The sequence below is a fragment of the Homo sapiens genome, chromosome 4, assembly GCF_000001405.40.
Source record: "Homo sapiens chromosome 4, GRCh38.p14 Primary Assembly".
In the NCBI taxonomy this organism is placed as follows: Eukaryota; Metazoa; Chordata; class Mammalia; order Primates; family Hominidae; genus Homo; species Homo sapiens.
This window is the reverse complement of record NC_000004.12, coordinates 48,767,119-48,784,134: the sequence shown is the minus strand read 5'-3', so window position 1 is coordinate 48,784,134 and position 17,016 is coordinate 48,767,119. Positions and strand designations below refer to the sequence as shown.

Sequence of the window (17,016 nt, the reverse complement as noted above, 5' to 3'; positions counted from 1 at the left end):
AATGATTTTGGTTGACAGCTTCCATTAGTTGGATTTTTTTTTTGAAAAAAAAAAAAAAAAAAGACAGGATCTTGCTATGTTGCCCAGGCTGGCCTTGAACTTCTGGGCTCAAAGCAATCTTCCCATCTCAGCCTCCCCACTAGCTGAGATTACAGGTGTGCACCATCACACCATGCTCTGGATTTTTAAAAATTTTACTATAGAAAAATCTCTGGTGAATACATAGTCTCCACGCAAGAGCTTTGAAGGAAATAAAGGGTAAAAACTGTGCCCCTTATAGGTGGAGATTCATGACATACTCTCTGGAGAATGGATACATATTCATCATTTTCTCCCTATTCTTTTTTTTTTTTAGACGGAGTTTCACTCTTGTTGCATAGGCTGGAGTGCAATGGCAACATCTCAGCTCACCGCACCTCCGCCTTCCAGGTTCAAGCGATTCTCCTGCCTCAGCCTCCTGAGTAGCTGGGATTACAGGCACGCGCCACCCCGCCCAGCTAATTTTGTATTTTTAGTAGAGACGGGGTTTCACCATGTTGGTCAGCCTGGTCTCGAACTCCTGAGCTCAAGTGATTTACCTGCCTCGGCCTCCCAGTGCTGGGAATACAGGTGTGAGCCACTGCACTTGGCCCCCATTTTCTCACTATTCTTAACACATAATAGTCGCTATATAAGTGTGTGGTGAACTGGAAAGAATTTCCAATAGGAATGGTAACATAATTTTTCAGAGGAAAAATAATTACTGGTTAAACTATGGAACCTCTTTGAGGGGTACATTTGCATATAAACAGGGAGAATAGTGATCATAACATATTTCACTTTTTTTGTATTTTTTATTTTTGACACGGAGTCTTGCTATGTCATCCAGGCTGGAGTGCAGTGGTGCGATCTCAGCTCACTGCAACCTCCGCCTCCCGAGTTCAAGCCATTCTCCTGCCTCAGCCTCCCGAGTAGCTGGAATTACAGGCATGCGCCACCACGCCCGGCTAATTTTTGTATTTTTAGTAAAGACGAGGTTTCACCATGTTGGCCAGGCTGGTCTTGAACTCCTGACCTGAGGTGATCTGCCTGCCTCGGCCTCACAAAGTGCTGAGATTACTGGCACGGTGTGAGCCATGGTGCCTGGAGGTATTTCACCATTTAAAAGACTTTAACAAACATCTATATACAATAATTTAAAAAGCTTTATTTACATTAGCACATTGGAGAAGGGTGTGTGTGTGTGTGTGTGTGTGTGTGTGTGTGTGTGTGACAGAGTGAGACTCTGTCGCCCAGGCTGGAGTACAGTGGTGCAATCTTGGCTCACTGCAACCTTCGCCTTTCGGGTTCAAGTGATTCTCCTGCCTCAGCCTCCCCAGTAGCTGGGATCACAGGCCTGTGACCATTCCCACCAGCTAATTTTTGTATTTTTTGCAGAGATGGGGTTTCGCCATGTTGCCCAGGCTGGTCTTGAACTCCTGGCCTCAAGTCATCCACCTGCCTTGGCCTCCCAAAGTGCTGGGATTACAGGCGTGAGCCACTGCACCCAGCCGAGAAATATTCTTTTTTTAAAGAGTGGGGATTGGGCTTAGAATGAGAAACTAAGGTAGAGAGATAAAGTCTCTCTGAATGAGAAAGTACAACTTGTAAAATTCTCCAGGGTTAGAACTGGGGCTGTGTTCATCAACACTGAACATTCTTAAGAATAACCTCTACGTTGTAAGCTCCAGGTTTGTAGATTTTTAAAATTCTTCTTTGCTGTGAAATGCCAGTAGGAGTATTAGTACCAGGAAGTTGCATGTGTGGGCTAAAAAGTGATAAATGATCCTATTGTGGGCAAATATGAAATATTTAGAGAAAAGAATAACACAAATTATACTTGAAAGGTGATAATCTCAGCATAGTTGGTTCAATGCAAGTAAGAGAATCTAGAGGTTACTGTAGACTGCCTTCTCTAGTTTATATGCCCAGTCTGCTAGTGCAGCAAAAGAGGGCAGTAACAAGCTGGATATCATAGGGCAGGTGTTTTAGAAAGAACCTGAAAACATCACTTAGACCTTGAACAAAAGCTGCAGGTGTGTACATGCCTGAAACACTGGATATCTTTATCTCCAGAAGATCATACTAGATATCAGTACATAGTATCTTCTTCTTCTTATATTCTAATGTAGAATATTAGAACCCAGAAGCAGTCTCAGAGTTTGAGAGTGGTAAGTGAGTAAACCAGAAGTATTAGTTTAGCTTGGCTGCAGTTTTATTATACAGTAAAATCAGAATAGGCTAAGCATAGGGATTTAGTTATAGGGACTTAATAGGGAGGATGTGTGTATCTGTGAAGGCCATATAAATGCAACCCAGATAGTTCATCGTCTCTTGCCCCCACTAGTGATACCTAAACCACCTTCCTGCAACGTTCCCTTTTGTTTCCTGCTCTTTCATATTTTCGGGAATCCTCATGAAATTTTTCACCTGTATTTGGGGAAAAGTCCTATGAACTACCAACTACTGATGTTTACTTACCCTTCTCTGTCATCATCAAGCCCCTTTTCTAGGGTACTGCTGAGCACTGACACTTCCTTGGCACCATTAGATTATACTGGGGTATCACTGCAAATGTACTAAAGCCCCCGGGGTACACAGTCTTCAAGGTTCATCGGCAAAGAGGGAGAGAACACATAACCATTTTCCCCTAACATTCTTAGATGGGTACCGAAGCTGTACCTGTACTCAATTTTAGTGGAAATAAACCTTTTAGTTCTTACAGCTCCAGTGGGAAACTGGGGAAACTCTAAAGCAGACCCCGCACTAGGCTTCCCCATAATTTCTTCTCTTTTCAATGCGTGAGGTTCTGCTCCATGGTCAAGCTTCTGGTATCAGATTCCCTCTTTCCCTTAGACAGACTCGTTTTCTCCTGAGAGGCATCTCAGTTGTTCAAGTGACCTGGGGTGTTTTTCCTACAGTTCTAGCAAGGGGGAACGAAGTCCTACACTTTGAGGATGGCATAAGGGTACCATCTACTTAATTTTTTCAAAAAAGTAACAGGTCTCGTGGAAACGCGGGAACGTCACAGAGGACGTGACTTAAACGGAACTTGTAATGGAAATGATTTTCTAAATGAACAATTGCGAGACAAGCAAGGAAACCTCCAGGTTTGCAGATAACTTGATTAAAGCTCTTCCGGGTGGCAAAATGCCAGTGCAATCAATGGTATGAGTAGGGCGGACAGTGGATGAAACTTGTTGAGTAAATCTCAGGAGGAATTAGCACTGGACTTTCAGGTATTCTAACTCAATTCTAACCATTCCATTCTCTGGATCATTGGATAAGGTTCCGCAGGATCCGGGCGCCAGCTCTGGATACATTACTGATCGGGAGAAAATTTTGAATTTTTCTCTTGTCCCTTTCCAGCTTTCCTCAATATAGGATATGAGTTTGTCCTCGACCCCTAACAACATTTAAAGGTAAAGTCGCTCCTAGAAGGCAAAGCGGAGAGGACTTTGCGGCTGTGTTTCTCAAGCCCGTAAAGAGAGAGTAATAATGGTAGGGAGCGTGCAGACTAGCTCTTTCCTTGCCCAATCAAGTGTACAGGAAGATGTCCTTTCACCAATAAAAATAAAGTTCGCTTTCCGGAGGCGGGAGGGTGAGCCTTGACTGCCAGGGCTCCAAAGCAACGTTAGAGGCGAGGGCAGAGAATGATTAGAGGGAAGACCAACCCGGGAAAAGGGGCGGGGAGAAGGTAGGAGCAACTTTGAGCGGCGGCTGGCCAGGCCAGTGGAGGGCGAGGACTGCTGTTCCTGTTGTAGTGTTTCTCGCCAATCAGGAAGGCCAGGGGGCGGGCGGGGTAGGGAAGGGGTGGGAAGACCTCGCAGCACAGCCGGGCGCCCGTCGGGCTCTGGGAGAGAGCGAGAGAGAAATCCGGTTAAAATCAGAGTCGGAGGGAGGTTTAACCACAGATCGGTTCCGATCGGATTATTCCTTAAAGGGGACGCGCCATTGTCAAGAGAACGGAGCCAGGGGCCCGAGGGCGGGGACCGGCGGCGCTGGAGGAGCGAGGCAGCTGTACTAGGACTGGGAACGGGTAGGTGTTGACTGGGGAAAGGCGCTTCATTTTACTTTCTCTTCCAGCCCCGGGGCAGGCGCCGGGATGCCCGCCGCCGGCAGCCCAGCCTGGGCGGGAGACGAGGTCGTCGGCCCTCGCCAGCTGTCCTTCCTGGTGGGCGCCGAGGGAAGGCGGTCCAGGATGGCTGGCAAGCGGCGCGGCGCGGCCCGGGCCGGCGCTCGTAACGGACACCAAACCGCGGCGCAACCCCAGCCTCAACCGAAAGCCCGCCCGAGCTCCGGCGGTTCCGCCGGCAGCGCCGCGCGCCCGTCTCTCCCGCACGTCCCCTTCCCCTCCAGTGCCTGGCTCTTCTCGCGCGCGCCCGGGTACCCCTCGCGCGCCGCCTTCTCGCGCGTCCTGCTCTGGTCGCGCGCCGCCTCGCCACCGACTCGCGGGAGCCGCCCCGCGGGAAGGAAGGCGGTGGCAGAGGTGGAGGAAGACCGGCGACCACGGCTCCGCCGCCTCGGCTGGGAAGGGAGGGCTGAGGAGCAAACTTAGCGCGGCGGCTGGCGGGCCCCGGCGGGCAGGGCTGGCGGGGACCGGCGGAGCGCGCCAGCCCAGCCGGGCATTGTCCGCCTTTTCCCTTGCTCTGGTCTCTCCGCCCACTGCTCGCGGTCCTGGGGAGGGGTGCGGGCGCTGTGCCCGCGCAGCCCCGGGCCGTTGGCGTACCCCGGGACCCGGAGTCTTCCGGAGCCGGAGCCAGCCCTGCGGACACCGCGGCCACCGCCCGCGAGCTGACTCGGCCTGTAGATTGCCTGCTGCTCTCAGCCTCGGCACCGGGCAGGGTGCCTGGGCGCTGAGCTCTTCTTTGCAACTTTTATTTGCCGTTTGATGGAAGTTGTTGCTTCCGGGCGGCAGGTTCTTTGGGCACAGCCTGGTTTCCTGCGTTCTGGAGAGGCTGGTTTCTAGGGCGAAATGATTTATTGCTGCCGGTCTTTCCTGCCATCCTAGTTTAGTTCCTCGCCACCTAAAATCGCATTTTTGTGGATTTGCAATGATATGGGAGCATTAATCTTTCCTAGGCCAAGATTTGAAAAGAAAAAAAAGGGGGTGGGGGTTAGGGTGTGTGCTGGTGAGGAGCAAGAGTTCTTAGTAGAGCTGAGTTTGCCCTTACCTTTGAACTGCGGAAAATATTACTTCGATTCACTGGCTGGGGTTCTTTTGGAAGGGTAGGGGAAAAAAGACACAGCAAGACAGGTTGCCAGGGTCTGTCGGATTGGGGGGGAAAAAGGGTTTTGATGGAAGTAAAGTTGGTTTTATAAAATGCTGTGCTGCCTAGGAGATATCGTCTGTAAAGTTGATTCTGCTACTGAATTTACAGCCATTATAATTAGTACCAACAGCTTTTACTATTGATAAAAACTAGTATAAGACGTCTTTTCATCTTGAGCATTATCACTCTGCTTAATCTGTCAATACTTGCCGAGGAAATCAGAGATAGCACATTCCTTGTTAGAGGCCTTAGTGAAGAATGTTTTCATAAGCATTCATTTTTGACAGTTTCTTCTTGTGCAATACTTTATGTAGAGTACTTGCATGTGCAAGTTACAACCGTATAAACAAAGTAGCAGTGGGTGTGTTATTCTCTGGTCTTTTTTCTGCTACTCATTATCAAAAATAGCATTCCATCGTGTCTTGTCTTCCACTCTGAATTATTTTGTAAAATTAGTTCTCTAAAAGAGGGAATTCTGTTGGAACATGTGACCCAGTTTTTTTTTTTTTTATTAAAGCAGTCCAACTTTTTAAAGCGTTCATCGATTAATTTATTGTCTAGTAACTTCGGAGTGGTGTGGAACATTGTAAATTCACAGGCTCAGCAGTAACAATAGAGAAACTACTTGGGAAATTGGAAGCCAATATCAGATAATGTTTGAAATAAAAATCTATTCTTCTCACAGAATTTAGGAAATAAAGACACACAAAAACAAATTCTTTGGGTTCAAGTGATCCTCCCACCCCAGGCTCCGTAGTAGCCGGGACTACAGGTGGGCACGACTGCGCCTAGCTAAAATTTTTATTTTTTGTAGAGATGGTGGTCTCACTTTTTAATTTTTCGTATAGACGGCTGGTCTCCAACTCCTGGCCTCAAGCGATCCTTCTGCTTTGGCCTCTCAAAGTGCTGGGATTACAGACTGAGCCACCGTGCTTGGCCGTTTGTAGTAATCTTGATGGTATCTGGCATTGTTTCACCTAATATTTCTTCTTTTTTGTTTTTTTCTTTGATCCATTTCTGTGATAAGGATGTCAGGCAAGCAGCTAGGCATAATCTTCCTTCCCATCTCATAATAAAAGGAGACGGTTAAACCAAGTTTTTAAATGTCTGTCTTTGTTTACTTACCAATTTATTTAAACAATAAAAGAATTTCTCAACTTTTAGAAGAGAACATATGAATAAAACATTCAGAAATAATTATCTTTGAAATATCTAGACTGTATTTCCTGAAAAAGACTTTTTCCTCTTTTGTGCTTTCTACATTGTTTTAAACACATTGTTTTATATGCACACATTTCTTGAGTTATGAACTGTTTCTTGAGATCCTTGGGAGCCAGAATTATCCTCCATTTCTGTGCAGATTCACTGTATCACCTCGGACCTTTTTAGTACCCAATAAATGTCTTATTTTAGGTCTTTGTGACAGAAAAAGATAATGTCCTGTAAAGGCCGCTTGAGTTATTTAATTTTTTAAATAAACACCTTTCTGAACATTTTATACTAAAGGCCAGCAATTGGCTTACTGTTGGGGGAAGATATGTCAATCTAGAGGTTCTTTGTTCTGTGTACAAAATTGTGATTTGTTTATAATATCTGTTCCACAGACATCTTTTGTGATGGTGAACACATTGTCACAATTATTCACAATTATTCAGGACTAGGTTTTATGTGTCAATAAGATCTGTTGAGTATACTTTTATTTAAAGGGTATTATGTAAAGTAGAAACCGATGACAGAGTATTTATGGAGATAAAGTAGAACTGGATGACAGTCTTGCTCTAAATAGTTTTTGTTTTTTTTTTAAATTAGACCCAGAGCCAGCAAATCAGATGTATACAGTTTAATGAGAAGATGCAAAATTACGATTCTTAGGAAAAGGACAGTGGGTATGTCAGTGCAGTAACAAGTACAAAGTAACAGTGACACAGGATTCATGTAATTGAAATGATTGAAGTGGACAAGTTTTCATGGCTTTAGCAGATTTTAGAAAATATATTTTTAAATACATTTTTTAATAAAGTAGTTTTGGGGGTAGACTAGGTATATGTTGTCTACTCGAGCTATTTTTATGTATAAAATATTTTGGGGAGACAGAGTATGTGCTCTGAATTTCAACTATTGTTACATAGTGACAGGGATCATCCATCTGGCCCTGCTCAGATGTCACCTTGTCTGCAAGCTCTTCCTCTGTTCTCCTAATCCCAGGTGATTGTTCTTTGTTTTTGCTCCTGTAAAATCCTCTTACAGTACAAGCCATGGTCTGACTTACAGTATGGCTGTGTGTATATTTCTTTTATTAGATTGTGGAGTTTGCTAAAATTAACAGAAGTTAGAGCCCTTTCATTTTTACTGTTGCCTAAAGTACTTGGGCAGTTTTAATAGCCCACCAGTATTCTAGAAAATCACTTACTGTAAAGAAGTTTAAATTTAGTTTTATTTGGGTTTGGAAAGTGTGTATTTATGTTTAAAGGAGAAAAAGTTTTTGCTTATCAAAGTTTCACATGCTTGTTGTAAAATATTAATATGAAAGAAATGCATAATTTCAAAATTAAAAGTGGCTGGGTATGGTGGCTCATGCCTGTAATCCCAGGACTTTGGGAGGCTGAGGCGGGAAGATGGCTTGAGCCCAGGAGTTAAAGAGCAGTATGGGCAACAAAGGGAGACTCTGACTCTATTTAAAAAAAAAAAAAAGAAACGAAAAGTGTCACATAACACTGCTCCTATCACATTGTAACATTGTTAGTGGTTGTTTATTCTTTCAGGTTTTTTTTTTCCTTTTTTTCTTTTTCTTTTTTTTTTTAACCTCTGTATAGGACTGTCTTAAACTGTCTCTCATGCTTGCAAATTTTAGTTAGTAAATTACATTTATTGGGAGTGGGGAAAACTAATCATTTTTTATATACTTATCTTTAAAAATAATTTCTCCAGGCCTAGTAATTCTGGCAATTCTGGTTCCTTTTACCTTTTCTTAGGATACAAAGCTGCCACTAGTATGTTTGTGTTCAAAATGTAGACTTCATACTCTGCAAAAATTGATCAAAACCTGTGTGCCTGAACAGTTTATCTGCCTTTACCCCAGAATATTTTTGGAGTACATACTTTAATTTCTTCTTATTTCTTGATTATTCTTCTCAAGAGAGAGAGGATTAAAAATTGCTTTGAGACTCCCAGCGGGCACTCCTCATAGTAGCCCAAGGAGAAATGTAGATTTGTTCATGGTGGAATCACTCAAACGTTAAGTTGCTAATTATAAAAAGGGGGCTACAGTTTAGGCTGGTGAAGTAGGTGAGAAGAGTCTGTTGTTCCACGTCCTTCTTTAAGCTACCCCAGAGGGCAGAAAGGGTTTCCAAAGGATCCTAAATAGAAAACCCAGCTGTAAGCAGCCAGGCGGCCTAATCAGCTGAAAAAAAAATCTTTCATTTAGCAGACTTTTGAGAACTGCATCTATAGTGTGTACCATGCTAGGCATTGAGGGTAAGATTAAGTTTGTATCTGTCACAAGTTATGAGCTCCTCTGAGCAGGAACCTTAAATAGACCAGTGCAGAGTGGAACATGTGGATTAAAGGTAGCTTAGATGAAGTGCACCCTTTGGTGAACTTATTATTCACTCATTTGTTTATTTTTCGGCATAGCCTCTTCCAAAATAGCCTAGCACACAAACCTGGGCTTCCACAGGAGGTGGGTTAAGGTCCATGGAACCTCTTGAATTAAACTTGTTAGCTTAGAGTTGTTTTTTGGGATTGCAAACACTGCTGTTCCTGTGGGGCGAAATATTTCTGAAATTCTGCAAACGTAATTGTGTCTTTCCTTATACTTTACAGGTATCGTGCATTTCAAAGAATATCATTATGAGACTACATGGGTATCCTAGCAAATAACTCATATTTTGCTGACATAGTAGTAATACATTCTTTTAAGCTCAAAATGCTATAATAAATACATGTCTTTACCAGGATTTGTGCTTTTTGTTACGAAAAATATTATTTTGAAAAATCATTGGCTGGACGCGGTGGCTCACGCCTGTAATCCCGGCACTCGGAGACTGAGGTGGGCGGATCACTGAGGATAGGAGTTCGAGACCAGCCTGGCCAACATAGTGAAACCCTGTCTCTACTTAAAATACAAAAAAATTAGCCGGGTGTGGTGGCACATGCCTGTAGTCCCAGGTACTCTGGAGTCTGAGGCAAGAGAATCGCTTGAACCCAGGAGGCGGAAGTTGCAGTGAGCCGAGATCACGCCACTGTGCTCCAGCCTAGGTGACAGAGCAAGATTCCTTCTCCAAAAAAAAAAAAAAAATTATTTGTATTAAAATTCAGTGTGAAATATTTTTAACTTTGACAAAATAGATCCCCCTACCACCCTCCTTTTCCCATTCAGTCTTTATATTTGTGGGGGAAAGATTGGAGTGTTAAGAAAGGGACCATGTAACACTGTCAGTGATGGTGTGTTGACTGGGCCAGGAATAATATCTGACAGAGGGGTAGTAGTTCCTGTGGAATTTGACCATAATGCAGCAGTTTTGATATGTTAAGTTTTGTGAAGAGTTAAAATTTTAAAGTGACAGCTTTTTTGAAATATAATTCGTATGCCATATAATTTACCTATTAAAAATGTACAATTCAGTGGTTTTTATTCTATTTCAGAGTTGTATACCATAACCTCAATTAATTTTAGAACTTTTTCATCCCATCCCCACCCCATCCCCAGCCCTAGGCAACCACTGATCCATATTCTTTGTTTCTATATTTGCCTATTTTGGACATTCTATATAAATAAAAAATAACATTTTATTAAATGTACATTCCTGCGTAACTTGATCCCTCTCAATGTGTGTAAGTACTGTAAATAGATTCAAGTACATCATTCCTTGATGTGGGTAGCTCCAAGTTTAGAAAGGTACTTATTTATGTATTTATTTGATACAGAGTCTCACTCTGTTTCCCAGGCTGGAGTGCAGTGGTGCAGTCACAGCTACAGTTTCCACTGTAGCCTCCACCAGCTGGGCTCAAGTGATCCTCTCACCTCAGCCCCGTGAGTAGCTGGAACCACAGGCATGTGCCACCACACCCAGCTATTTTTTGTAGAAAGAGGATCTTGCCATGTTGCCTAGGCTGATCTTGAACTCCTAGGCTGAAGCTATCTGCCTGCCTTGGCCTCCCAAAGTGCTGGGATTACAGGTGTGAGCCACCGTAGAAAGGTTTTAAGAGAAAATTTAACCCATCATTATTCTACCTAAGCCTGGAGAATAATAGGAAATTTTTTTTTTCCCCTATGAAAACCATTAGACTCATTCTGGTAACACTTCCTTATACTAACATAATCATTTGATGACTCTTTTCAAGTAAACAATTTAGGTTTCGAGTTCTGCAGACTGGACTCAAATAAAGGGCAATACTTTAAAGGAAGTTAAAAGTACTTAGTTCTAATCGTTGATGAATGTGATGTGACATTTGCCCCTTACTGGTTAAAAAAATAGTGCTTCGTAGATTGATCATGATGGATTTGCATTACTCTTGCATATTGCTAGTGACTTGGTAGACCCTTAATAAGTGCTTATTGATTGGCTGATCACTATGATCACAGATATTTTCATCAGCTCTACTAGTCTTTATCTTGCGTCTTATAATAATAATGATAGATAATCTGTTGACTACTTGCTAAGTAGTGTGATAAGTAATTTATATGTACCATATTTTAAGGTAGGAGGATGCAGTTTACATTTTGAGAATTTTTTGTAGTTGTCTCTGTTGATTATACTTTTACAGGCTTCTGATCATTTCTTTGTCTTTTTAAGACTATTTTGAGTGACTATTTTTGATCAAATGTAAGACACTTTGATGCTGGTGCTTCCTTGATCTTTCCAGGAGGAATCAACTGAACGTTTTCACCAACGACATCCCACTGTTGGATGACAGTAGTTGTAAGATACACCTCTATTTCAGCGTCCATACTTCAGAAAGGTTAAAAGTGTTGTTGTTGTTAAAAGCATCTGAAAGTTGATGAAAAAGGAACATTAGTTTGTTTACTTACTGCAGTGCAGCCTTGCTTTTTAGGATATAAACCACTCACGTGTTCTTTGTTGCCTGAATGGATTTCAGTGTAGTATTTCCACTTCTCAGAATTCTTGTTTTGTTCTGCTTTTTTTTTTTTTTTTTTTTTTTTTGGTAGGTCTCTTCATTTCAGGGTAAGCTTCAGATGTGATTTAATTTAGTTCAATAGTAAAGAATGCTGGAAAGATAATTTGTAATTTTATTTTTCCATTTTAAAACTTAAGATGGGTTATGCCATCTATAATACTGGTTAAAAATATTAGTTTGATGAATGTGCATCTTAATAAATGTACATTCCTGTGTAACTTGATCCCTCTCAATGTGTATAAATAGTATGAGTAGATTCAAGTACATCATCCCTTGATGTATGTAGATCCAAGTTTAGAAAGGTATTTATTTATTTTTTTGACACAGAGTCTTGCTCTGTTGCCCAGGCTGGAGTGCAGTGGTGCAATCACGGCTCACTGTGGCCTTTACCGGCAGGTCTCATGTGACTATCAAGTGAATTACTATCAAAAATAGAGGTTCAAAATAATCTTAAAAAGACAAAGACTTGCTAGCCTGTAGAAGTGTAAAGTATAGTTAATGGAAACAATTACAAAAAATTCTCAAAATATAATCTGCATCCTTCCACCTTAAAAGATGGTACATATACATTATTAATACTTATACCTTACTTATTAAGTAGTCAATAGATTTAGTGACATTCGTATGTCTGGGATGTCAGTGAACTCACAACAATTTATTTGCAAAAGGAACTCTAGCCAATTAGTGTCCTCAGCCAGCAATGTACAGAGAATCATATTTTGTTTGTTGGTGAAACCATTCCTTTCTAAATCATGTCTGCTTTTGGGGGTTGATTTGCTTATTACTTTATTGTTAACTGTTATCTCTTTGTTTGCTCTCATTATGCCTGCCCATAGTAGTCTCCTCTTTATAATTTGATGTTTTCAGTGTGCTGTGGGAACAGAACCCCATACAGTACTTGCTGAATGGTGGATAAAAATGACAGCATGTTCTTCTGGGTGAGGAACCAGAAGACTTTCTGTGCATGGAGCTTTAGTGCTAGGGACTTGTTGTTTTTTACTGCTTAGAGGACTCGTGCTTTTTTTCTGGTTTTTGACTCTGTTTTGGCTAAGTGATGCTTCTGGATAGCCGAGGATGGTATAACAGGATGGTAGATGCTACCCTGTGGATGTTTAACTTCCTCTGAATAATAAACCTCTAAAAATTGTCTTGTTAAGTCTAACTCAAGTGGATGGAGAAGAACTGTTTTTCCTGTTAGAATGACTTGCTAGTCTACTTCTTGTAAGAACCATCAAAACCCTAAGCATGTATACTAGGATACTTAGATCTACTGGTATATTGTTACAATGTAAGTCAAAGAGCAGATATTAAAAGTCTTAAAGCACTATGAGATTGCTTGTAAAATAGCCAGATGTGTCTGTTACCTAAATATTTTTGTTTAAACTGGATCTTAATCTGTTTTCTTTGAGGTAAAATTATCTTTATAGATGCATTTTTCTGTATTTGTGTTGATACAATTTAGACCATGTCTTGTATGTAATATTCCTGATACTACTGAACCCTTAATATACTTTCAGTAAATACTAGTTACAGTTTGTCATGCATTTTTTCATTGTTTCACCTTTTCCTGCCTTAGAGTTAATGTTTTTGGAGCTAGAATGTCCTTAGGAATGATACAGTAGAATTTCTGCATTTTATAGATGAGAATGAGACTGTGACTTGTTTAGAATTGTTCTTTTTCTGCAGATGTAGATTTGAAAGGAAATAACAAAAAACAAACAAAAAAAGAACTGTGCTTTGATTCTTAGTTTAGTATTTTTCCTGTTCTAACATTTTTCCTGTTCTAATGTTCTTCCCAAGGTAAAAATTTTAAGGGAGGGATAGTAGCTTGGAATTTTGTAGCCTCTGTAACAGAAGTCTGCAAAAATTTTATTTCAGCAGTATAAAAAATTGAGTCTTCATTCCCAATATGTGTATGCTTATTTATTGTAAACTATATACTATAAATTATGTTCATAATAAGACATTAACCCGGGCGTGGTGGCTCACACCTGTAATTCCAGCACTTTGGGAGGCTGAGGCGGGCAGATCACCTGAGGTTGCGAGTTCGAGACCAGCTCAACCAACATGGAGAAACCCCATCTCTACTAAAAATACAAAATTAGCCAGGCGTGGTAGTGCATGCCTGTAATCCCAGCTACACAGGAGGCTGAGGCAGGAGAATCACTTGAATCCGGGAGGCGGAGGTTGCGGTGAGCCGAGATTGCACCATTGCACTCCAAACTGGGCAACAAGAGCGAAACTCTGTCTCAAAAAAATAAAAAATAAATAAAAAATAAAAAAGACATTAACAAAAAAATGTGATAAGGATGAAAAACATTTTCAAATAATTTAAAATATATTAGTTCCATGTTTTTGATCCTACTTAAAATATTAGTAATTTGTAAAATAAGAAAAATGTGATTGAATATCATCACTTAAACATTTTTTTTTAAATTTTGAAGTATTTATAGACTCATGGGAAGTTGCGAGAATAGTACAGGGAGTCCTGTGTCACCTTCATTCAGCTTCTCCCAGTTGTAACATCTTACATAAGATAACATATTAATAACCTTAACTAGGAAACTGATACAATATCGTTAATATTCAGATTTCATGTTCTTTAATGTGCTCATTTGTATGTATATGCGTGTGTACAGTTCTATGCAATTTGATAAAATTCTTGTATATGCCTTTGTATGTGTATGTACAGGTAGATTTGTATAACTGCCACCACCACAGTCAAGATATAGAACTGTCCCACCACTGCCAAGAAACTCCCTCGTGAAGCTCAAGGTTCCCCCCTACCTCCTTTTCCGTATTTACTGGCAGCCACTAATTCTCTTTTCACTCTATCATTTTGAGAATGTCTCATAAATGGAATCATACTGTATGTAACCTTTTGCGATTGACTTTTTCACTTAGTATAAAGTCCTAGAAAACCATCCAACCTGTCTCACTCAATAGCTTATTTCTTCTTATTGCTGAGTAGTATTTATTGTATGAACGTAGCAGAGTACATAGTTTAACTCTTCACCTGCTGAAGAACATAGGAGCTATTTCCAGGTTTTGGCTGTTAACTAAAAAGCTGCTGGGAATATTTATGTGCAGTTTTTAGGTTTTCATTTCTCTGGGATAAATGACCAAGAGTGCAATTACTGGGTCATACTGTAAGTGTATGTTTAGTTTTATAAGAAACTACCAGACTGTTTTCCAAAGTGGCTGTATGTTTTCACCAGCAATATATGGAAAGTTCCATTTCATCGATATGAAAGTTTCTCTATATCCTCTCCAACATTTCGTATTATCATTATTTTATATTTTAACTGTTCTAGTAGTATTGTATTGATAATGTTGTGGTTTTAATATGCCTTTCCCTAAATTAACTGTTTCCCTAAGGGGCAAATGGGATTGTTTTTTATTGTAGAGTTTTGAGGATTCTTTATATATTCTAGATAGAAGTTCTTTGCCAGTTATGTGGTATGTAAACATTTTCTCTGCATCTGAAGCTTGTCTTTTTATCCTCTTAATAGATCTTTCATAGAACAGAACGTTTGCCTTTTCGTATAGTCCGTCTGTTATTTATTTTTTTTGAGACAGGGTCTCATTCTGTTACTCAGGCTGGAGTGCAGTGGTGCAATCATGGTTCACTGCAACCTCTACCACCTGTCAAGTGATCCTCCCATCTCAGCCTCCAGAGTAGCTGAGACTACAGGCCTGCACCACCACCATGCCCAGCTAATTTTGTTTTTGTTTTTGGTAAAGACAGGGCGTCGCTGTGTTGTCCAGGCTGGTCTTGAACTCCTGGCCTCAAGCAGTCTTCCTGCCTCAGCCTTGCAAAGTGTTGGGATTACAGGCATGAGCCACTGTGCCGAGCCATATAATGCATTTAATCAATTTTTTTGTTCTATGAATTGTACCTTTTTTTTTTTCTTTGAGACAGAGACTCGCTGTGTCACCCAGGCTGGAGTGCAATGGCGCACTCAACATCCACCTCCTGGGTTCAAGTGATTCTCCTACCCTAGCCTTCTGAGTAGCTGGGATTACAGGCGCCCGCCACCACACCCGGCTAATTTTTGTATTTTTAGTAGAGACAGGGTTTCACCATGTTGGTCAGGCTAGTCTCAAACTCCTGACCTTGTTATCTGCCTACCTCAGCCTTCCAGAGTGCTGGGATTACAGGCGTGAGCTACTGCAGCCGGCTGAATTGTACTTTTTGTGTCAAGTCTATGGACTCTTCACCAAGTCCTAGGTCCTGAAGATTTTCGCCTCTGTTTTCTTCTGAAAGTTTTATGTTTTACAAAATAATCACTTTTTTACCTTATATTTTTGATAAAGCACTAATATTGGTAACAGAGCAACTGCCAGTGCTACGATTTTCGTTTTGTTTGCTTGTATTTTGATGTATTAATATTATGCGTAATCTGTCCTTCTTTGTAAAAATCTTTTAAGAATCCATTTGTGCGTTTGTGAGTGCTATCGCAATTCAGATGAGATCTGTAAATCTACTTAGTTGGGCACCTGTAAGCTGCAGTGTGTTGCAATATGCTGGAAGGGAACAAATGAGAGGACATCACAAGGCATCCCTCAGGGTGTGCAACTGCCACCTTTCCTTTAGGAAACCTTTACGTACTGTATTCAGTGTCAGGAAAAGAAACATCCCTGAGTATTTTAAGCTAGAAGAGGTTTAATGCAAGGTGCTTACCGAATTATTAGAAGGGCCAAGCAGCAGTTTTAGGGTGGACTGCCACATTTGACTCCAAATCAATCAGAGGTTACCCACAAGGGGATCTCTGAGGGCACCGCTGGGGCTGTGCTGGAATCTAGAGCTTGTGCTGTTGGCGTCCTTGCCTCTGGATACTCTACAGACTGGAGAATGGACCCGTAGCTGCAATCCAGGATTAGGAAGTTGGAGGAAGAAGCCTCTGCTGCTGCCACCACTACCACACTGCTTCCCACCACCCAAGATGAGAAAATGCATGCTGTACATTAGGTTTTCAGAACTTACTCATCTTATAAACTGAAAGTTTGTACCGTTTCACCAATATTCCCCTTTTCTCCCACCCACTGGTTCTGGCAACCACCATTCTACTCTGTTACTCTGAGTTTGGCTTTTTAAATTTTAGATTCCATATATTAGTGAGATCATGCAGTATTCGTCTTTCTGTGTTTGATTTATTTCACTTAGCATAATGTCCTCCAGGTTCATCCACGTGGTTGTAAATGGCAGGATGTTCTTTTTTAAGGCGAATAATATTCTGTTGTGTGTGTATGTGCATGATATGGTTTGGCTTTGTGTCCCCACCCAAATCTCATGTCGAATTGTAATCCCCAGTGTTGGGGGAGGGACTTGGTGGGAGGTGATTGGATCATTCGGTCAGATTTCCCCCTTGCTCTTCTTGTGATAGTGAGCGAGTTCTCAGAAGATCTGGCTGTTGTCCTTTGAAAGTGTGTAGCACATCCCCCTTCCCTCTCTCTCTCCTACTGGCCATGTGAAGGCGGTGCGTGCTTCCTCTTCACCTTCTGCCATGATTGTAAGTTTCCTAAGGCTTACCCAGAAGCAGAAACCTGTACAGCTTGCAGAATTATAAGCCTTAAATATCTCTTC

General features: G+C 41.4%; 1 protein-coding gene across 5 annotated transcripts in view, besides 3 other annotated features; it reads left to right on the top strand.

The window, feature by feature from the left end:
* Window positions 3,811-3,920: a silencer, noted in NCBI's record as "silent region_15414". NCBI's record gives its function as "represses an Ori minimal core promoter by ATAC-STARR-seq in GM12878 lymphoblastoid cells {active_cell/tissue: GM12878}" and the evidence as "EXISTENCE:reporter gene assay evidence [ECO:0000049][PMID:35858748]".
* FRYL (FRY like transcription coactivator) overlaps window positions 3,856-17,016 on the top strand; it is a 282,923-nt gene continuing 269,762 nt past the window's right edge. For all 5 annotated transcript variants that reach the window (XM_024453991.2, XM_024453993.2, XM_011513683.4 and 2 more), the window contains exon 1: window positions 3,856-4,057. The gene's annotated coding sequence lies outside the window, so the exon portion shown is untranslated. The remainder of the gene's footprint in view (window positions 4,058-17,016) is intronic.
* Window positions 4,011-4,890: a silencer, noted in NCBI's record as "silent region_15413". NCBI's record gives its function as "represses an Ori minimal core promoter by ATAC-STARR-seq in GM12878 lymphoblastoid cells {active_cell/tissue: GM12878}" and the evidence as "EXISTENCE:reporter gene assay evidence [ECO:0000049][PMID:35858748]".
* Window positions 10,246-10,305: a silencer, noted in NCBI's record as "silent region_15412". NCBI's record gives its function as "represses an Ori minimal core promoter by ATAC-STARR-seq in GM12878 lymphoblastoid cells {active_cell/tissue: GM12878}" and the evidence as "EXISTENCE:reporter gene assay evidence [ECO:0000049][PMID:35858748]".